This window comes from Homo sapiens, chromosome 19, assembly GCF_000001405.40.
Source record: "Homo sapiens chromosome 19, GRCh38.p14 Primary Assembly".
Lineage (NCBI taxonomy): Eukaryota > Metazoa > Chordata > Mammalia > Primates > Hominidae > Homo > Homo sapiens.
The window spans coordinates 39,638,311-39,660,933 of record NC_000019.10 but is presented as its reverse complement, the minus strand read 5'-3'; the positions used below and the strand labels follow the sequence as shown (position 1 = coordinate 39,660,933).

Below are 22,623 nucleotides of genomic sequence, written 5' to 3'. Positions count from 1 at the left end.
TAGGTACACCTGTGTGGCTGTAAGTAGCTATCTAACATTTAAGTGCCGTGAGTCATCTGAGATTGGGTAAGTATTTTGGTTCAGACTGTCTGACGTCAACTACGTACTATAGAAGGATGCTGTTCCTAATGTCTTATCAGACATTCCATGGACCTTGTCACTCACTCCCTTTGTCACAGGAAGGTTTATCCCCTTTGATTTCTTGATGCCTCCCATAGAATGCCCTGGCCCCTTTTGGGGATGATCACGTCCTCTTTCCCCCTCTTAAAGCAAGAACCAAATCATGTACGGTTTGGTGCTGTTTTAATGACCAAGTGTAGGGGAAGGGGTTGAGGAGGGATTATTCTGTTAGCAGGCTCTAGGAATCCCATGGTCAGGTAGAAAGAGGGTTTCCTCAACAATGAGGAGTGTGATCATCTCCGTCCATTGTTGACAAGCACTGAGTCCAGGGAGACATCTCTCCACACTTGAATCATCTTCACATATGATGGCGGGATTCGATGGACAAAGGCATAAATGTATTCACCATTTACCTTTACCTTTAAGAGGAAAAATGCATCAGAAAGACAGTATGCCACCCAACAAGTTTTCAGCCTCTTCTCTACTCTGCCCTAGTACCAATAACATTCCCCAAGAAAACTCCTAGTTATACAAGCGAATGTTGTAGATACACTTCTGTTTACAGATGACATTTTGTGCCTATTTGAGACAGTTGCTGACCTTATTTCTAATGTTTCCTCTTATCTAGTGAAGTTCTACACTCTGTGTCACACAGTCCCTGTTTATTCAGCCTCCCTTCTAACCTGGACAACCCCATTACCAGCAACTGTGTCTCAGGAACTTGAGACCCTGCATCTCGCACAGGACCTGCCACAGGGTTAGTGCGAGACCATGTTCACTGAAATGCATACTTTTCAGTTCCATGAACTGTGACTGTCTTTCACTACTGATGGCACAGTTCCTCTTTGGAGTAGCCTACATCTGAGGTGTTAATGGCAAAGAATGAAACCCAGTGTTCTTAGAGAGTTAAAGGAGGACAGGTCTTGTATAACATAGGATATTATCTTCGACAACTTCTAAGCATAGGAAAAGATCCCTCACTTGAATCTGAATAAGATGTGAATCTTTTGGCCTACTCGTTAGAGAAAGTAAGAAAGTATGGATGTATTCCTTATATTGAGGCTGTATAGAGAGTCACCTTATTAGTATTAATTTTTCAAATTTAAAATGCACATATTTTTCAACCAGTTTTTTCATTTTTTGTAATTATATCGCAATGTAAGTATTGGGAGGTTGGTAATGACAAAAGGATTTATTTGAAAGCTTAATACAGCATCATTTGTGAGAGCAAAATACTGGAAACAACTTCAATGCCCAAATAAACAATTGAAGCAGAAACATGGATTGATAATGTCTTCAAGATATATTCTTTGATGAAAAACCAACTTAGTTCCTAAAGCATAATGTGTAGAGCAACATACCAGGATTTACTTAAAAACAAATGAAATCATAGACATATCTATATGCTTCCATAGGCAAAGATTTCCTCTGAAGGGGTTGGCACGGTGGCATATGCGTGTAATCCACTATATTGGAAGGCTGAATTGGGTTGATAACTTGAGGCTGGGAGTTCAAGACCAGCCTGGCCAACATGGTGAAACCCCGTCTCTACTAAAAATAAAAAAATCAGCCTGTAATCCCATCTACTTGGGAGGCTAAGGCAAGAGAATCGCTTGAATCTGGGAGGTGGAGGTTGCAGTGAGCTGAGATCACGTCACTGCCCTCCAACCTGGATGACAAAGTGAGTCTCTGTCTCAAAAAAAAAAAAAAAGAAAAAGGATTCTCTCTGAAGGAGAGCAGAGCTCTGGTAATGTTATTCGTATGAGTAGAATTGGGGCCCAAAAGTGAGACGAAGACATAATTTTTGATTGATAGAAAAAACTTTCTTCTTAAGTATATTGTATTCATTCAGCTACATGAAAATTTAAATAATGGCATAAGTAGAAATGAGCACTATGTGAAAAGACAGAGGAGATTCTCCACTTTGGGGGAAATGGAAGATGAGCCGACCTTGACCTTGGTCAGATTTGGGAAAGAGCTGAGGACGGCAGTGCAAGCAGAGGGTGCTCTGTGATGAAAACCTGGGGCAGGGGTAGTTACGGGAGATGGGCCCTGAGGGACTGGTGAGGCCAGGTCAATGAGAGCTGACTCCTGCTCTGGGATCCCAAAGAGCCTGGGTACTGCGAGCTCCTGGGGTGCTCACCTCATACTCATTGTGACACACGTAGATGCGCAAGTCAAATGGTTTGCCATCCTCAAAGGGCACATAGTGTAAATTCTCCTCCAACATCCATATCCCAAACTCACGACTGTTCATGACCACACGACGGCCTAAGTGCACTCGCAAATGGAAGGCAATTTCTGAGTCCTCATTCATCTCAGTGTAGAAATCCACCTGCAGCTGTGGTTCGTTGCTGAGGGCAAAGCACACAGCATATTGGACAGGTTCCTTCATTGCACAGACACACACTTGACACGCACACAAATCCCTTCCCCCATTTACCCAGGGTAAAATTCTCTCTGATGATACTGCAGGCCTGGTCCCTGTGGGGATGCTTCAGCTCCTCGTGCCCCCTGCAGGGAGATGCTGTGCCCCTCATCCCCAGATGAAAACTGAATCACAGTCACTGACCTGGGCCTGTGACTTGTTCATTCCCTGAAAATTCTATGCCCCTTGATAAAGAGCCACAGTCCCAACCCACTGAGTATTCTCCTCCCCTAGGCCCCATGGCTGGCCCACATGCAGTTGCTGCAGGTCTCATGCCTGGTGCTGGAGGGTCTCCAGGACCTGCACCTGCATGGGGCCTCCATCCTGCCAATTAGACATTTCCACATCACCCACACATAAGGTCAAACTCTTAGCAAATATTCTCCTTTCTCCTCCACCCCCTCCATTGGACCATGGAGTACTCACATAGAAGAGTCGATCAGTGTCCCTTTGATTATCACGCAGGAACCAACAGACAAAGACACAGGCAGTTTGTATGGCACCTGCCAGGGTATTGAGAATAAGTGAGAGGTGCAGGGTCAGGTGCAGTCTCCCTTCCTGTAACATATTCCCATGGTGCAGGAGGTTAGAGATCACAGGGCAGGCTCTGTGGACTCTCCCCATTCACTCTACCACAGTCAGGGCCCCACATTCCTGAAGGTATGGTGGACCCATAGGTAAGAGCAAGGGTTCAGGAGCCAAGAAGCCTGGATTCCAGTCCTCATTCTGCCTCTTACTAGCAGTGCAATCTTAGATCGGTTACTTGACTTCCTCAGTTTCCCTAAAACAAGGAGGATTATCATGAATTCCTACTGTGTAGGAAGTTCTCCATAATAGAGCAGTTAATACATGTAAAACTTTTACCCTAATCCCTGGCATGTGTAGGGCCTGTTAGGGGTGACCTAACAGAACAGGGGAGTCCTCCTGAAACACTGATCTGCCTTATTTTCAACTCTCACAATCATCAAGGGCAATGGACGTCCTTCCAAGAAGTGGCACACATTACTGACAGCACAGCCCCAGTACTTGCACAAGTGAAGCCTGTGGGTCAGGGACATAACTGGAGGGAATGATTGATTTCTACAATGACTACAAGTGGTTGATGATTTTTCTGTATTTTTGAGATAGGGTCTTGCTCTGTTGCCCAGGCTGACATGCAGTGGTGCGATCATAGCTCATTGAAACGTTGAACTCCTGGGCTGCAGTGATCCTCACACATCTGCCCCCTCTTGTGTAGCTGGGGCAAAAGGTGCCTGCCACTCTGGCAGTCTGATATTTAAAGTTTTTTAAAGAAAGGGTCTCACTATGATACCCAGACTGGCCTCAAACTTCTGGCCTCAAGTTATCCTCTCATCTTTGTCTCTCAGATTGGTGGGATTATAGCCGTGAGCCAGTGAACCCAGCTGCTTTGTTGATTAATATCCACTGTAAGCTCTGTCTGAACTGAGACTAGACTTGTTCCTTCATGGGTGGAGGAACAAGTTTAGACTCAGTTGAGACATAGCTTACAGTGGATATTTTACGTGATTCAGTCTCTGAAACCATGGCCTCTAATATCCTTCTCTAGCAAACCTCCTGTCCCACAATGAAAAGGACAGGATAGGCTGGGGACAGGGAAGCTGAGCCTGGGAGGCAAGAGACAGTGGTCACTCTGTGCAGACCCCACCTGAGGATCCATCACCCCCATAGTCTCCATTCCTCTTCCCCACTCTTACTGGGAAGAGACATCTACTGATCATACATTCTGCTCTCATAAGTGATCTGAAACAAGTCCTTGGTAACTCACAATCTCCAAGATCCCTACCAGTTAAGCCACCTGGGATCCACATTGCCACACATGAAAAGACACACAGTTCCTTCATCAGAAGTGCTGTTGTGTGGGGAGGAACCTTCACATGCACAGAAGGCCACATGCGTGTTTTCCCTTCAATACTCAGTCACATCCCAGCACACACACCCACAGTCACACAGAGCCATGCCACTCACTGAGTTACACACACCTGCTCACTGCGCACATAAAGATGACCATGCACTGGTCTGGCTGTGCTAACACACACTCACATCACAAAGAGGAAGACAAAGTACAATCACCCCCCTTACACTCACACAAACACCTGCTTGACCTGGTGTGCCATCCACCTCCCACCTAAAGTCACATCATCTCATCAGAGTTCACTCTCATCAGATACCACCTCATGCTCACAGAGGGTTACATTTGTCCAGGATCCACAACCCACATGCTACAAGCATCTCAGATACCCAGCCTCAGTGTTTCTCTTCCACACACCCACAACTCTCAGTAAAGCATTCACAGTAGGAATGCTCATATTTTCATCTCATAAAATACCCCACATCTTTCTTGGTTTTGTGTGACTTGAGATTATTGAAGGCTGTGCCTTTTCAACTCACAGTTAGAAATGACATTGTCCTCTCCTTCTGGGCGACCTTCGGAATTGTGTCCAGTCTTCTGAGTGAATCTCTGAGTTGCAGCACTTAAATGACCCCTTTCAGCTTTGCCCTCTGGCATCATTCCAGATTCCATGCTCCTCCCAGCAAGCTTTCCTTGCAGCATGAGAAAGGGTCAGGTGTCACGAAGAAACTCAGTCACAACCATAACTATTTGCAAGTCTGTGTCTGTAATGCAGCAGAAATGACATTGGGGAAGGTACCAGACTGTGGATTGGGTTACCAGGGAAATGCATAGATAAGGATGATGGAGTGAGGGGTAGTGATTGTAAAGCCCAGCCTTTGTGCCTCTCAAGCCTTTTCTCCACTATGCAGAATCTACCCAGAAGGTGTACATTTTCCCAATTTTGTACAATGGCTAAACAAGAAAAAAAAAGTTGGAGATTTTGGGGGAAACAAGTTAGCCCTAAAAGGTAATTCTTCTCTCTGCCTTTAAATGTTCTGGGAGAGCACTGACCTTGATCCTGAGGAGGATCTGCAGAGAGAAGTAGAGAAATTTCTTGCATGAACCTGCCCCACACTAAGCCACTTGGCTTTGCTAGGTAAGGGCCACTTTCATCTGACTGTCACACACTTGGGCTCTAGCTACACCCTCTGTTGGTGTCCATGTAAATCAAAGTTTGAGGGAGACTGTTTCTTCTGCAGATTCTGGGAGAAAGGTGAGATTTAAAAAAAATTATTATTATACTTTAAGTTCCAGGGTACATGTGCACAATGTGCAGGTTTGTTACACAGGTATACATGTGCCATGTTTGTTTGCTGCACCCATTAACTCGTCATTTACATTATTTATCCTGATGCTATCCATCCCCCTGCCCCCCACCCCATGATAGTCCCCCATGTGTGATGTTCCCTGCCATGTGTCCAAGTGCTCTCATTGTACAATTCCCACCTATGAGTGAGAACATGCGGTATTTGGTTTTCTGTGCTAGTGATAGTTTGTTCAGAATGATGGTTTCCAGCTTCATCCATCTCCCTGCAAAGGACATGAACTCATCCTTTTTTATGGCTGCATAGAATTCCATGGTGTATATGTGCCACATTTTCTTAATTCAGTCTATCATTGAAGGATTTGGTTTGGTTCCAAGTCTTTGCTATTGTGAACAGTGCTGCAATAAACATACGTGTGCATGTGTCTTTATAGTAGCATGATTTATAATCCTTTGGGTATATACCCAGTAATGGGATGCTGGGTCAAATGATATTTCTAGTTCTAGATCCTGGAGGAATGGCCACACTGTCTTCCATAATGGTTGAGCTCGTTTACACTCCCACCAACAGTGTAAAAGCGTTCCTATTTCTCCATATCCTCCCCAGCATCTGTTGTTTCCTGACTTTTTAATGATCGCCATTCTAACTGGTGTGAGATGGTATCTCAATGTAGTTTTGATTTGCATTTCTCTAATGACCAGTGATGATAAGCATTTTTTCCTGTGTTTGTTGGCTGCATAAATGTCTTCTTTTGAGAAGTGTCTGTTCATATCCTTTGCCCACTTTTTGATGGGGTTGTTTGTTTTTTTCTTGTAAATTTGTTTAAGTTCTTTGTAGATTCTGGATATTAGCCCTTTGTCAAATGGGTAGATTGCAAAAATTTTCTCCCATACTGTAGGTTGCCTATTCACTCTGACGGTAGTTTCTTTTGCTGTGCAGAAGCTCTTTAGTTTAATTAGATCCATTTGTCAATTTTGGCTTTTGTTGCCATTGCTTTTGGTGTTTTAGTCATGAAGTCCTTGCCTATGCCTACATCCTAAATGATATTGCCTAGGTTTTCTTCTAGGGTTTTCATGGTTTTAGGTCTAACATTTAAGTCTTTAATCCATCTTGAATTAATTTTTGTATAAGGTGTAAGGAAGGGGTCCAATTTCAGCTTTCTACATATGGCTAGCCAGTTTTCCCAGCACCATTTATTAAATAGGGAATCCTTTCCTCATTTCTTGTTTTTGTCAGGTTTATCAAAGATCAGATGGTTATAGATGTGTGGTGTTATTTCTGAGGGCTCCATTCTGTTCCATTGGTCTATATATCTGTTTTGGTACCAGTATCATGCTGTTTTGGTTACTGTAGCCTTGTGGTGTACTTTGAAGTCAGGTAGCATCCAATTCTGTGAAGAAGGTCATTGGTAGCTTGTTGGGAATGGCGTTGAATCTATAAATTACCTTGGGAAGTATGGCCATTTTCACGATATTGATTCTTCCTATCCGTGATCATGGAATGTTCTTCCATTTGTTTGTATCCTCTTTTATTTCATTGAGCAATGGTTTGTAGTTCTCCTTGAAAGGGTCCCTCACATCCCTTGTAAGTTTGATTCCTAGGTTTTTTATTCTCTTTGAAGCAATTGTGAATGGGAGTTCGCTCATGATTTGGCTCTCTGTTTGTCTGTTATTGGTGTATGGGAATGCTTGTGACTTTTGCACATTGATTTTGTATCCTGAGACTTTGCTGAAGTCACATCAGCTTACGGAGATTTTGGGCTGAGATGATGGGGTTTTCTAAGTATACAATCATGTCATCTGCAAACAGGGACAATTTGACTTCCTCTTTTCCTAATTGAATACCCTTTATTGCTTTCTCTTGCCTGATTGCCCTGGCCAGAACTTCCAACACCATGTTGAATAGGAGTGGTGAGAGAGGGCATCCCTGTCTTGTGTCAGTTTTCAAAGGGAATACTTTCAGCTTTTGCCAATTCAGTATGATATTGGCTGTCGGTTTGTCATAAATAGCTCTCATTATTTTGAGATACATTCCATCAATACCTAGTTTATTGAGAGTTTTCAGCATGAAGGGCTGTTGAATTTTGTCAAAGGCCTTTTCTGCATCTATTGAGATAATCATGTAGTTTTTGTCACTGGTTCTGTTTATGTGATGGATTTTGTTTATTGATTTGAGTATGTTGAACAAGACTTGCACCCCATGTATGAAGCTGACTTCATCGTGGTGGATAAGATTTTTGATGTGCTGCCAGATTTGGTTTGCCAATATTTTATTGAGGATTTTTGCATCAATGTTCATCAGGGATATTGCTCTAAAATTCTCTTTTTTTGTTGTGTCTCTGCCAGGCTTTGGTATTTGGATGATGCTGGCCTCATAAAACGAGTTAGGGAGGATTCCCTCTTTTTCTATTGATTGGAATAGTTTCAGAAGGAATGGTACCAGCTCCTCTTTTTACCTCTGGTAGAATTCAGCTGTGAATCCATCTGGTCCTGGACTTGTTTTTGTTGCTAGGCTATTAATCATTGCCTCAATTTCAGAGCCTGTTACTTGTCTATTCAGAGATTCAACTTCCTGGTTTAGTCTTGGGAGGGTGTATGTATCCAGGAATTTATCCATTTCTTCTAGATTTTCTAGGTTATTTGCGTAGAGGTGTTTATAGTATTCTCTGATGGTAGTTTGTATTTCTGTGGGATCGGTGGTGATATCCTCTTTATCATTTTTTATTGCATCTATTTGATTCTTCTCTCTTCTTTTTTAGTCTGGCTAGCGGTCTATCAATTTTGTTGATCTTTTTCAAAAAACAAGCTCCTGGATTCATTGATTTTTTGTTGGTTCTTTATGTGTCTCTATCTCCTTCAGTTCTGCCCTGATCTTAGTTATTTCTTATCTTCTGCTAGCTTTTGAATTTGTTTGCTCTTCCTTCTCTAGTTCTTTTAATTGTGATGTTAGGATGTCAATTTTAGATCTTTCCACAAAGAAATTTCGTGGGCATTTAGTGGTATAAATTTCCCTCTACACACTGCTTTAAATGTGTCCCAGAGATTCTGGTATGTTGTGTCTTTGTTCTCATTGGTTTCAAAGAACATCTTTATTTCTGCCTTCATTTCGTTATGTACCCAGTAGTCATTCAGGAGCAGGTTGTTCAGTTTCCATGTAGTTGTGCGGTTTTGAGTGAGTTTCTTAATCCTGAGTTCTAATTTGATTGCACTGTGGTCTGAGAGACAGTTTGTTGTGATTTCTGTTCTTTTACATTTGCTGAGTAGTGCTTTACTTCCAACTATGTGGTCAATTTTGGAATAAGAGCGATGTGATGCTGAGAAATGTATATTCTGTTGATTTGGGGTGGAGAGTTCTGTAGATGTCTATTAAGTCTGCTTGGTCCAGAGCTGAGTTCAAGTCCTGGATATCCTTGTTAACCTTCTGTCTCAGTGACCTGTCTAATATTGACAGTGGGGTGTTAAAGTCTCCCATTATTTTGGTGTGGGAGTCTAAGTCTCTTTGTAGGTCTCTAAGGACTTGCTTTATGAATCTGGGTGCTCCTGTATTGCGTGCATATATATTTAGGATAGTTAGCTCTTCTTGTTGAATTGATCCCTTTACCAGTGTGTAATGGCCTTCTTTGTCTCTTTTGATATTTGTTCATTTAAAGTCTGTTTTATCAGATACTAGGATTGCCACCCCTGCTTTTTTTTCTGTGTTCCATTTGCTTGGTAGATCTTCCTCCATCCCTTTATTTTGAGCCTATGTGTGTCTCTGAACGTGAGATGGGTTGCCTGAATACAGCACACTCATGGGTCTTGACTTTTTATCCAATTTGCCAGTCTGTGTCTTTTAATTGGAGCATTTAGCTCATTTACATTTAAGGTTAATATTGTTATGTGTGAATTTGATCCTGTCATTATGATGTTAGCTGATTATTTTGCCTGTTAGTTGATGCAGTTTCTTCCTAGCATTGATTGTCTTTACAATTTGGCATGTTTTTGCAGTGGCTGTTACCAGTTGTTTCTTTCCATGTTTAGTGCTTCCTTCAGGAGCTCTTGTAAGGCAGGCTTGGTGGTGACAAAATCTCTCAGCATTTGCTTGTCTGTAAAGGATTTTATTTCTCCTTCACTTATGAAGCTTAGTTTGGCTGGATATGAAATTCTGGGTTGAAAATTCTTTTCTTTAAGAATGTTGAATATTGGCCCCCACTCTCTTCTAGCTTGTAGGGTTTCTGCCAAGAGATCCGCTGTTAGTCTGATGGGCTTCCCTTTGTGGGTAACCTGACCTTTCTCTCTGGCTGCCCTGAACATTTTTTCCTTCATTTCAACCTTGGTGAATCTGGCAATTATGTGTCTTGGGGTTGCTCTTCTCGAGGAGTATCTTTGTGGTGTTCTCTGTATTTCCTGAATTTGAATGTTGGCTTGCCTTGCTAGGTTGGGGAAGTTCTCCTGGATAATATCCTGCAGAGTGTTTTCCAACTTGGTTCCATTCTCCCCGCCACTTTCAGGTACACCAATCAAACGTAGATTTGGTCTTTTCACATAGTCCCATATTTCTTGGAGGCTTTGTTCATTTCTTTTTACTCTTTTTTCTCTAAACTTCACTTCCTGCTTTATTTCACTAATTTGATCTTCGATCACTGATACCCTTTCTTCCGCTTGGTCGAATTGGCTATTGAAGCTTGTGCATGCATCACGTATTTCTCGTGTCATGGTTTTCAGCTCCATCAGGTCATTTAAGGTCTTCTGTACACTGTTTATTCTAGCTAGCCATTCATCTAATCTTTTTTCAAGATTTTTAGCTTCCTTGCAATGGGTTCAAATATCCTCTTTTAGCTCGGAGAAGTTTGTTATTACTGACCTTCTGAAGCCTAGCTCTGTCAGCTCATGAAAGTCATTCTCCATCTAGCTTTGTTCCGGTGCTGGCAAGGAGCTGTGATCCTTTGGAGGAGAAGATGCACTCTGGTTTTTAGAATTTTCAGCTTTTCTGCTCTGGCTTCTCCCCATCTTTGTGGTTTTATCTACCTTTGGTCTTTGATGCTGGTGACCTACAGATGGGGTTTTGGTGAGGATTTCCTTTTTGTTGATGTTGATGCTATTCCTTTCTGTTTGTTAGTTTTCCTTCTAACAGTCAGGTCCCTCAGCGGCAGATCTGTTGGAGTTTGCTGGAGGTCCACTCTTATTTGCCTGGGTATCACCAGTGGAGGCTGCAGAACAGCAAATATTGCAAAATAGCAAATATTGCTGCCTGATCCTTCCTTTGGAAGCTTTGTCCCAAGGGGCACCCACCTGTATGAGGTGTCAGTCGGCCCCTACTGGGAGGTGTCTCCTAGTTAGGCTAAACGGGGGTCAGGGACCCACTTGAGGAGGTAGTCTGTCCATTCTCAGACCTCAAACACCACGTTGGGAGAGCCACTGCTCTCTTCACAGCTGTCAGACAGGGATGATTAAGTCTGCAGAAGTTTCTGCTGCCTTGTGTTCAGCTATGCCCTGCCCCCAGAGATGGAGTCTACAGAGGCAGCAGGCCTTGCAGAGCTGTGGTGGGCTCCACCCAGTTTGAGCTTCCCTGGCCACTTTGTTTACCTACTCAAGCCTCAGCAATGGCGGACACCCCTCCCCTGCCAGGCTGCTGCCTCCCAGGTCAATCTCAGACTGCTGCGCTAGCAGTGAGCAAAGCTTCGTGGGCATGGGACCTGCCAAGCCAGGTGCAAGATGTAATCTCCTGGGGTGCCATTTGCTAAGACCACTGGAAAAGCACACTATTTGGTTGGTTGTGTCCAAATTTTCCAGGTACAGTCTGTCATGGTTTGCCTTTGCTAGGAAAGGGTAATCTCCCGACCCCTTGCACTTCCCAGGTCTTCAGCTCGCCCTCCTTGGCCTGCACCCACTGTCCAACCAGTCCCAATGAGATGAACCAGGTACCTCAGTTGGAAATGTAGAAATCACTGTCTTCTGCGTTGATCACACTGGGAGCTGCAGACCAGAGCTGTTCCTATTCAGCCATCTTGGAACAGAATTGAGATTTGTTTTTTTCTTTGATTTATTTTTCCTTTTATTTTAGGTTCAGTGGTACACATGCAGATAAAATTGTGTCATGGGTTTTGTGGTAATTATGATTTCTTCATCTGGGTACTAAGCATAATACCCAATAGTTATTTTTTTGCTCCTATTGCACCTCTCACCCTCAACCCTCAAGTAGGCCCCAGTGTGTGTTGTTCCCCTCTTGGTTCCATGAGTCTCATCATTTAGTTCACACTTATAAGTGAGAACATGCAGTATTTGGTTTTCTGTTCCTGCATTAGTCTGCTGAGAATAATGGCTTCTAGCTCCATCCATGTTATGGCAAAAGACATAATCTCACTGTTTTATAGGACTGCATAGTATTCCATTGTGTACATGTACCACATTTTCTGTATTTAATCTGTCCTTGATGGGCATTTGGGTTCATTCCATGTCTTTGCTATTGTGCATAGTTTTGCAATGAACATTCATGTGCATATGTCTTTATGGCAGAATGATTTCTATTCTTCTGGGTATACACCCAGTGATGGGATTGCTGGGTTGAAGGGTAGTTCTGTTGTTAGCTGTTTGATGAATCACCACGCTGCTTTCCACAATGTGTGAACTAATTTACACTTCCACCAACAATGTGTAAGTGCTCCCTTATCTTCATAACCTTGTCAGCATCTGTCCTTTTTTGACTTTAATAAGAGCCATTCTGACTGGTGTGGGATGGTATCTCATTTTGGTTTTGGTTTGCTTTTCTCTAATGTTCAGTGATGTCAAGCTTTTATTATATGCTTGTTGGCCACCTGTATGTCTACTTTTGAAAAGTGTCTGTTCCTGTCCTATGCTCACCTTTTTTCATTGTTTTAAAACAGGTCTCACTCTGACAAAAAGGCTGGAGTGGTGTGGCACTGTCTCAGCTCACTGCAACCTCTGGCTTCTGGGCTCAGGTGATCCTCCCAGCTCAGCCTCCTGAGTAGTTGGGAATACAGGCTCATGTCACCATGCCAGGCTAATTTTTTCTAATTTTAGTAGAGATGGGTTTTTGCCACGTTACCCAGCCTGTTCTCAAATTCCTGGGCTCAAGCCATCCACCAGCCTTGGCTGTCCAACGTGCTGGAATTACAGGCATAAGCCACTGTGCCAAGCCCTTTACCCACTTTTTTATGGGTTTGTTTTTTCTTTCTTGTAAAGTTGTTGAAGTTTCTTGTAGATACTCGGATATTAGATCTTCTTCAGATAAATAGTTTGAAAATATATTCTCCCATTCTATAGGCTGTCTGTTTACTCTCTTGATAGTTTCTTTTGCTGTGCAGAAGCACTTTAGTTTAATTAGATTCAGTTTGACAATTTTTGCTTTTGTTGTGATTGCCTTTGAAATCTTCATCATGAAACCTTTGCTCATGCCTATGTCCTGCATGGTATTGCCTAGGTTGTCTTCCAGGGTGTTTGTAGTTTTGGATTTTACATTTAAGTCTTTAATCCATCTTGAATTGATTTTTGTATATGGTTTAAGGAAGGGCTTCAGTTTCAATCTTTTGCATATGGCTAGCCAGTTCTCCCAGCACAATTTCTTGAGTAGGGAGTCTTTTTTCCGTTGCTTGTTTGGTCAGCTTTGTTGAAGATCAGATGGTTGTCGGTGTGTGGCCTCATTTCTGGGTTCTCCATTCTGTTCCATTGGTCTAGGTGTCTGAGACCACCATGTTGGGCAGACTGGTCTCAAGTTATTTTCTGACCTCGTGATCGGCCCTCCTGAGCCTTCCAAAGTGCTGGGATTATGGCGTGAGCCACCGCGTCCTGCCCCTTTGCCCACTTTTTAATGGAGTTGTTTGTTCTTTTCTTGCAAAGTTACTGAAGTTCCTTATAGATGCTAGATATAAGACCTTTTTCAGATACATAATTTTCAAATATTTTCTCCCATTCTGTAGATTGTCTGTTGACTCTGTTGATAGTTTCTGTTGCTGTGCAGAAGCTCTTTAGCTTAAATAAATCCACTGTCAATTTTTGCTTTTCTTGAGGTTGCTTTTCGCATCTTTGTCATAAAACTTTTGTCCATTTCTACATTCAGAATGGTATTGCCTATGTAGTCTTCCAAGGTTTTTATAGTTTTGCATTTACATTTAAGTCTTTAACCCATCTTGTGTTGATTTTTCTATATAATGTGATGAAGGGGTTCAGTTTCAATCATCTGCATATGGTTAGCCAGTTACCCAGAACCATTTCTTGAATAAGAAATCCTTTTTACATTGCTTGTTTGGTCAGCTTAGTGGAAGGGTCTGATGATGGTTGTAGGTGTGTGACCTTATTTCTGGGCTCTCTCTTCTGTCCCACTGGTCTCTGTGTCTGTTTTTGTACCAGTACCATACTGTTTTGTTACTGTGGCCCTGTAACACAGTTTGACATTGGGTAATATGATGTTTCCAGCTTGATTCTTTTTGCTAAGAACTGTCTTGGTTATTCAACTCGTTCTTGGTTCCATGAGTATTTTAAAATAGTTTTTTTCTAATTCTATGAAGGATGTCATAGGTAGTTCAACAGAAATAGCATTGAATCTGTACATTTCTTTGGGCAATATGGCTGTTTTAATGATAATGACTCTTGCTATCTATGAGCCTGGGATGTTTTTCCATTTGTTTGGGTCATCTCTGATATTTTAAGCAGTGTTTTGTAATTTTCATGGTAAAAATCTTACACCTCCTGGTTAGCTGTATTCCTAGGTATTTTATTCTTTTTATGGCAATTGTGAATGGAATTGCAGTCCTGATTTGGCCCTATGCTTTGCTGTTGTTGGTATATAGGAGTTCTAGTAATTTTTGCACTTTGATTTTGTATCCTGAAATTTTGCTCAAGTTGTTTACCAGCTTAAGAATTATTTGGGCAGAGACTATGATGTTTTCTAGATACAGAATCATGACATCTGCAAACAGGGATGGTTTGACCTCTCTTTCTGTTTGGATGCCCTTTCTTTCTTTCTCTTGCCTGATTGCTCTGGCCAGGACTTCCAACACTATGTTGAATAGGACGGTGAGAGAGGGCACTGCAGAAATTGTGATCTGAAAGTCCAAATTCAATTCCTGCTCCGTTCATCATACATATTTTGAGCTGTGATTTATCAAATACAAAACAAAAAATTTCTCTGTTAATTCTGTCTTATTGGCCCCTCACTTGCAAATACAGGCCCAGACGCACCAGAGCTCAGCACCACGGACAGCACCACAGAAGAAACAGCTTTGGGAGACTTGGACATCAAGGACAACGTTAGCAAAGAGTAGATTTATTCTTTGGGGGCTTTCAGCAAAAACTGGAAAGCCCTACAGACCTTTCAAAAGGTAAGGCTTTAGACTGCGGAAATAACCTACTGTGTTTTCAGCAATGATGTATTTGCTGGGAGAAGGCCATGAACTTGGGTTGACAAGCATGAAAGAGATGTTGAGTAAGTCTCCAGAGGCAAACAAAAATCGTTTGTTCAACATTGGTTCCTTGGCTCTATGTCTTCTCTTTTTATCTGAGACATCACTCCTGGCCACCATGAGCATAGGGTAGTAGTTGGTATAAAGATGAGAGTAACAAATGGCCTATATGAGCTGAACTGAACTGGTGAATATCAGTCAAGAAAAGGCAGTCACTGTGTGTTTGTATAGCAGGGGCAGCATGTAGGACACTGTAGGTCATGCAAATACAATGGGCATCGTCCAGCGACATGTAGATATGAAATCAATCTCATGTTCTGCTCAGAAACTCATGGGGTCCAAGATAGTTTTTATCCACTCAGAGCAAGTATTGCCTAATTCCCCAAGAAATGATTTCCATGCTGATGAGGGGGCCTATGATCCATCATCAAAATAGGGCGGTGACCAAAACTGTGAGAGGGATGATATAAGGGGGAAAGTGTACCTAACAAGAACCTGAGACTTTCCAGTGACAGCGGAGGGAATTTCAGTTCATACAGGAAAGCAACAAGAAAGAGAGGCATGAAGGTGTCATTTACTGTGCATTGACACCTCAAGGTATATGAATATTAGGTTAAAGGAGGGCAAGGAGAGAGGCATACCCATGAGTAAGGTTGGAGCTGAACAAGTTGTGGCAATGAACATGGAAAGAGAGGATGAAGATGATCAAATTGACACCTGTGATAGGCCCTGCAGACAAAGAGGCTATTTGATGAGACCCTCTTCAGTCTGCATTGTTTGGCTTTTAGGTAATATGTTGTTTATCTTCTCCTAAATGGTTCTCTATTTGTGCTATGAACCAGATGACAACAGCTCTTATAGAGGGAAAAGGGCTGTCATTGTGCCTACTTGGTAGGAGCTCTAAGAAGCTGACAGTAGAAGGTGGAGCCAACTGTTGCAGAGAAACGTTTTCAGAGAAGATGAAAATACGGGTATAGTTGGCTTCAGCAAGATGTGGACCAGTGATGGATGCCTATTTTTTTTTTGTTCTTGTTTGTTTGTATTGGTTTCTTTATTTTAATTTTTATTCATGTACAAAGAGTTAGCATGGTTTCTTTCACTGAGTGGATGTCTTGCTTATTAATTCAAGGAGCATCACTTAGTCCAACTTAATGAGACCTATATCCTTTAAGTACTTGTGGAAACAGAAGCGGCACATATCAAGACAATATTTTCAGATAAGGAGATGCTGGTTTGAGCAGATGCAACAAGGGTGAGAACCCTGGCTGATTTTTTTGTGGGTGGCTCCAGTAGAGTTGTTGGTGACCCATCTTGCTTTCAGGGTGCTGTTTATTATCTTTTGTCCCTCTAAAATAAGTGTGTTCACTGCATTTTCCTATATCTGTTTTAGTCTTGTAGGTTTAATATGTATAGGGCAGATAATGTATTTCTTTAGTGCAGATGTTGAAAGAAAGTGCACATGATAATTTCTAGTCACTTCATGGACACCAGATCCTGATTGGATGATAACATTCTGGACTACAATCTGAGCCTGTTCCTATAAGTGTATTGCCTTCAGTGGTTCCTTACAGGATTAGTGCTTTTGATATATGGGAAAAATGTAAGCCAGTGAGGACTGAGTGGAAATAGTTGCCAAGGATGCTCCCTCATGACTGCATGTCAAAATAACCACATCTTATGAAACCCCCCTCCCTTTGATTTGGGCTTGTGTATGGCTCACTTTGATCAATATAATGTCATAGAAGTGACACTGTCTGCCTTTCAAAGCCAGGTCCTATGATGCCTTTCACCTTCTCCTTGAGCCTTTTGGAAGGCTTTCTTTGGTGGCAGCCAATCATCATTCCTTAAGTCCAAGAACCATGAGACTCTTATGATTTGAGGGAATTCAAGGCATGAATAGGGAAGTGACGTAGGGAAGGAGATAATCAGCCAGCCCGTAGGTGCTCACCCAGCCCTCGTGTTGAGTCAGACATGAGTGAAGCATCTTCTGGAATCCCAAACTAAAAGACGCTTCAGAAAACATGACTCTCACCACATGATCTACTACCCACATGAGTCCAGTTAACCAAGAAAGATCAGAGTAAATGATTTCTGTAAGCCAACGTGTGTTGGGAGCTTTGCTGTGCTGCAATGCCTAATGAAAGAGCAGCAAAGCAAGGTCAGCTCACTGTGTCCATGTGTATGAATTGTGTCCATCCCAAAAATAAACTACATATTTTCTGATCTAAAACCATGACCACTTGTTTTTAAATAGAAATCCCAGGATTCTGCCACATACTTTGGAAAAATCTCACAATTATTATTATTATTTTTTAGTTTTAAGAAAAATTATACTTTAGTTCTGGGTTACATGTGCAGAACGTGCAGTTTTGTTACATAGATATACATGTGCCATGGTGGTTTGCTGCACCCATCAACCTGTCACCTACATTAGGGATTTCTCCTAATGTTATCCCTCCCCTAGCCCCCTACCCCCAAACAGGCCCCAGTGTGCGACGTTCCCCTCCCTGTGTCCATGTGTTCTCATTGTTCAGCTCCCACTTATGAGTGAGAACATGTGGTGTTTTGTTTTCTGATCTTCTGATAGTTTGCTGAGAATGATGGTTTCCAGCTTCATCCATGTCCCTGCAAAGGACATAAACTCATCCTTTTTATGGCTGCATAGTATTCCATGGTGTGTATGTACCACATTTTCATAATCCAGTCTATCATTGATGGACTTTTGGGTTGGTTCCAAGTCTTTGCTATTGTGAATAGTGCCGCAAGAAACACATGTGTGCATGTGTCTTTATCGCAGAATGATTTATAATCCTTTGGGTATATGCCCAGTAATGGGATTGCTGGGTCAAATGGTATTTCTAGTTCTAGATCCGTGAGGAATTGCCACACTATCTTCCACAATTGGGGTTCTTTAAGAGAAATCTTTGGACTCCTGTGATTCTCTAACTGTTGCTTGGATTGAAATTTTCAAGTGAGAAACGTGTCTTTTTGTAAAGCTCCTGTATGGCAGCCTATACAGAGCCAGGCACCGTGTTAACATACAATAAATATCCTGAAAATAATGGAAAGTATTAGGAAATTCCACTAGATTGTTCTTAAGTTACAAAATTTCTCCCCAAAGCCACGAGGTACATCTGTGTGGCTGTAAACATCTACCTAACATTTCAGTGCAGTGAGTCATCTAAGATAGGGTAAAGATTTTGTCTCAGAGTCTCTGATGTCAACAATATGCTGTCAAAGGATGCTGTACCTAATGTCTCCTAAGATATTGCAGGGACCTTGTCATTCACTCCTGGAGTCACAAGAAGGTTTATCCTATTTGATTTCTGGATGCTTCCCATAAAGTTCCTCGGGGCCTCTTGGGGATTACCACTTTCTCTTTCCCCCTTAAAGCAAGAACCAAATTCTGGGAAGTTTGGTGATGTTTTAATGACCAAGTGTAGGGAAAAGGGTGAGGAGAGATCATGCTGTTAGCAGGCTCTGGGGATCCTATGGTCACATGGAAAGAGGGATTCCTCAACAATGAGGGGTGTGGTCATCTCCATAAATTGCAGACAGACATTGAGGTCAGGGAGACATCTTCCCACACTTGCAAAATCTTCATAGAACATGGTGGAAGTGGATGGGCAAAGATGTATGGTGTTGGCCATTTATTATTACCTACAAGAGGAAAAGTGCCTCAGAAAGACAGTATGCCACCAAACAAACTTTCAGCCTTCTCTCTACTCTCTCCTATACCTACAACATCCCCTGAGAAAACTGCTAGTTATATAACTGAACCCAAGACTCACAATCCTGTTAAAGATTAACTATTTGAGAGAGTGCTCACATTATTTCTAGTGTTTCCTCTGTTTCCTCCAGCAAGGCTGTACCACTCTGTGTCACATGGTCTATGTTTGCTCAGCCTCCCGTCTAGCTTGGAAAATCCCCATGGCTAGTGACTGTATTTCATGAACTTGAATCCCTGCATCTTGTACAGGGGTTCAAACAGGATTAACACTGGATTATGTTCATTGAATGCATATATATCTGTTCCATGAACTCTGACTGCCATTCCCTACTGATGGCCCAGTTTCTCTTTGGAGTTGCCTAGATCTGGGCTGATGGTGGCCAAGAATAAAATTCAAGTGTTGTTGGAGAGGTAGAATTGGACAAGTGTTGCAAAACATAGGCTATCATTTTGAACGGTTTCTAAGCATAGAAAGAGATCCTTCACTTGAATCTGAATAAAATGTGAATCTTTTGCTCTACTCATAAGAAAGGGCCAGAACATTTGGATATATTCTTCATTACTGAGTCTATAAAGTAACCTTCTAGGTGTCAATTTGTTAAATTTAAAATGCACACATTTTTGAACCAGTTTTTCATTTCTTTATGATTATCTTTCAATATAAGTAAGGGAGGTGGATAAAACAAAAGAATTGACTAGAAGTCTTAATACAGCACCATTAGTGAGAGCAAAATATTGGAAATAACCTCAAGGCCCTTAAAAAGAGTCAAGATTAATAATTTTAGGTAATCCTTATAATGCAATATTATGCATTCTTTAAAAACTGAGGAAGCACCATTAATAGACGGTATCTTCAAGATATATTCTTTCACAACAAATCAACTCAGTTTTTAAGGTGTAACGTGTGGAGCAATGTATACTAGGATTTTCTTAAAAACAAATGAAATTGTAGATCTATATGCTTCTATAAGCAAAGATTTCCTGTGGAAGGAGAGCAGAGCGCTGGTAATGCTCTCAGGAATAAGATTGGGTCCAGGAGTGAGACAAAGCCTTAATTTTTCATTGACTAAAACAATTTTATTCTTATGAATATTGTATTCATTCAGCAAAGTGAAAATTTAAACAGCAACATAAGTAGAAATGAATACAGTGAGAAAAGACAGGAGATTCTTCACCTTGGGGGAAATGCCAGATGAGCTGATACTGATCACGGTCAGATTTTGGAAACGAGCTGAGGATAGCGGTGCAACCAGAGGGTGCTCTGTGATAAAAAGCCTGGGGTAAGAGTAGTTATGAGAAATGGGTCCTGAAAATCTATTTGGGTCAGGCCAGGGAGAGCTGCCTCCTGCTCTGAGAACCCATGGAGGCTGGATACCGGGAGCTCCTAGGGCACTCACCTGGTATTCATTGTCTAGCACCAAGATGCTCAGATCAAATTGTTTGCCGTCCTTGAAGAACACATTGTGGCATCTCCCCTCACACTTCCAGGCCCCACACACATGGCTGTCAATGACCAAACAATGGCCAAAGTGCACTCAGAAATGGAAGGCGATGTCTGAGTTCTCATTCATCCCAGTGTAGAATTCCACCCGCAGCTCTGGGTCATTGCTGAGGGCAAAGCACACGGAGTGTTGGGCAGGCCCCTCCCTTGTAGGACACACACTCAACACACACACAAATCCCTTCCTTCTTTTCCCCAAGGCATAAAGAAGCCTCCCTGATCTCTCTGGTGATACTGCAGGCCTGGTCCCTGTGGGGCTGCTTTAGCTCCTCGTATATCCCCCAGGTGGGGAGATTCTCTTCCCCTCACAAGATGGAAAGTGAGCCACAGTCACTTACCTGGGTCTATGCCTTGTCCATTCCCTGAAAATTCTGTGCCCCTTGATAAAGAGCCACAGCCCTAACCCCTGAGTGTTCTCCTCCCTTAGACCTCATGACTGGCCCACAGTTCAGCCACTGCAGGTTTCATGCTTGGTGCTGGAGGGTCTCCAGGACCTGCGCCTGCATGGTTCCTCCATCCTGCCAACTAGAAATTTCCACATCACTCACATGAGACCACCTCCTGAGTAAATATTCTCCCTTCTTTTCCACCCCTGTGCCATGCAGTACTCACATGAAAGGGAGGATCCGTGTCCCTCTGATTGTCATGCAAGAACCAATGGACGAGGACACGCCTTCTGTGTGGCACCTGCTAGGGGATTGAGAGTGGGTGAAAGGGGCTGGGCCAGGTGTGGCCTCCCCTTTTGTGACAGATTACCATGATGTAGAAAATTAGAGATCAACAGGCAAACTGTGAGGACTTCCCTCTTTCACCCTATCACAGTCAGAACTCCATATTCCTAAAGACATGAGGGTCTCATAGTTAGGAGCTAGGATTCAGGAGCCAGGCTGCCTGGACTCCAGTCCTGATTCTGCCTCTTACTGACAGTGCCATCTTAGATCCATACCTGAACTCTGCCTAACTGTTTCCCAGGTACTAGGAAGATTATTTAAAATTCTTTTTTTCTGTACTTTCTTTACTTTTTATTTTTTATCTTTATTAGTAATTCTTACTAATGGGTGATCTTAGTGATAGAGAAATTAATATCTGTGAAAACAAGACTTGAGGATCTATCAGTGGAGAAATTCAATCCGTAAGAAGCAACACTTGTTGAAAGAGAGAGGGAAATAACAAAAGAACAGGAAACCCCTGTGTGTGGGATGCACATGCATCACTATCGTCAAGGGCCATGGGCATCTTTCCCAGAAGTTGTAAAAATTGTTGAGAGCACAGCTGCAGCACTTGGACAAATGAAGAGTGCGGGTCAGGGAAGTAATTAGAGACAACCTACAAGTGGATAATTTTTCTTCCTTTCTGAGACATGGTCTCACTCTCTCACCCAGGCTGATGTGTAGTGGTGCACCCATAGCTCACTGAAGCCTTGAACTCCTGTGCTGCAGGGGTCCTCACACCTTGGCTTCCTGAGTAGCTTTGGTGAAAGATGCCCGCCAAGGCTGGGTGCAGTGGCTCATGCCTGTAATCCCAGCACTTTGGGAGGCCAAGGAAGGTCGATCACGAGGTCAGGAGTTCGAGACCAGCCTGACCAACATGGTGAAATCCCGTCTCTACTAAAAATACAAAAATTAGCCAAGCGTGGTGGTGTGCACCTGTAATCCCAGGTACTCAGGAGGCTGAGGCAGGAGAATCACTTGAACTCGGGAGGCGAAGGTTGCAGTAAGAAAAGATTGCACCATTGCAATCCAGCCTAGGTGACAGAGTGACTCCGTCTCAAAAAAAAAATGCCCACCAAGTTGCCTGTCTGACACTTAAAGTTTTTGTAAAGACGGTGTCTCACTATTTTGCCCAGGCTGCTCTTATACTCCTGGCCTCAAGTTATTTTCCCATTTTTGCCTATCAAAATGGTAAGATTATAGACATGAGCCAGCAAACCCAGCTACTTGGATGATTAATATCCACTGTAAACTCTATCTGAACTGAGGCTACCCTTGTTCCTTTCCAGTTTGAGGTGATTCAGTCTCTAAAACCACAGTCTCCAATGTTCTTCCTCAGAGAGCCAGGACTTGCACACCCTCCTGACCTACAATGGGAATGGCAGCCTTGGGTGGGAGACAGGAAAAGACCTGAGGATGAGAGGCAGGAGATCATGGTCACTATGTGCAGACCCCACCTGAGGGACCATTGTTCCCATAGTCTGGATTCCTCTTTTCCACTCTGCCTGGGAAGAGACATCTACAGATCATACATTCTGCTCTCATTAATGCTCACAAATG

General features: G+C 42.6%; 1 protein-coding gene and 2 pseudogenes across 2 annotated transcripts, besides 1 other annotated feature; all 3 read right to left on the bottom strand.

The window, feature by feature from the left end:
- Positions 1-286: 286 nt before the first annotated feature.
- On the bottom strand, positions 287-5,021 carry LGALS16 (galectin 16). Its single transcript, NM_001190441.3, has 4 exons — positions 4,958-5,021; positions 2,975-3,051; positions 2,264-2,474; positions 287-539 (listed from the first exon to the last, which is right to left on the bottom strand). The coding sequence occupies exons 1-4, from the start codon at positions 4,970-4,972 to the stop codon at positions 414-416; spliced, it is 429 nt and encodes a 142-aa protein (NP_001177370.2). The 5' UTR covers positions 4,973-5,021; the 3' UTR covers positions 287-413.
- Positions 14,838-15,038: a silencer, noted in NCBI's record as "peak3479 fragment used in MPRA reporter construct". NCBI's record gives its function as "represses an SCP1 promoter by STARR-seq MPRAs in K562 erythroleukemia cells {active_cell/tissue: K562}" and the evidence as "EXISTENCE:reporter gene assay evidence [ECO:0000049][PMID:32103011]".
- On the bottom strand, positions 15,123-17,095 carry RPS29P30 (ribosomal protein S29 pseudogene 30; annotated as a pseudogene).
- Positions 17,096-18,532: 1,437 nt separating this feature from the next.
- On the bottom strand, positions 18,533-22,249 carry LOC100129935 (galectin 14 pseudogene; annotated as a pseudogene). Its single transcript, NR_026870.1, is given in 4 exon segments — positions 18,533-18,782; positions 20,028-20,113; positions 20,250-20,460; positions 20,966-22,249. The product of NR_026870.1 is annotated as a galectin 14 pseudogene (transcript).
- Between the last annotated feature and the right edge of the window lie 374 nt (positions 22,250-22,623).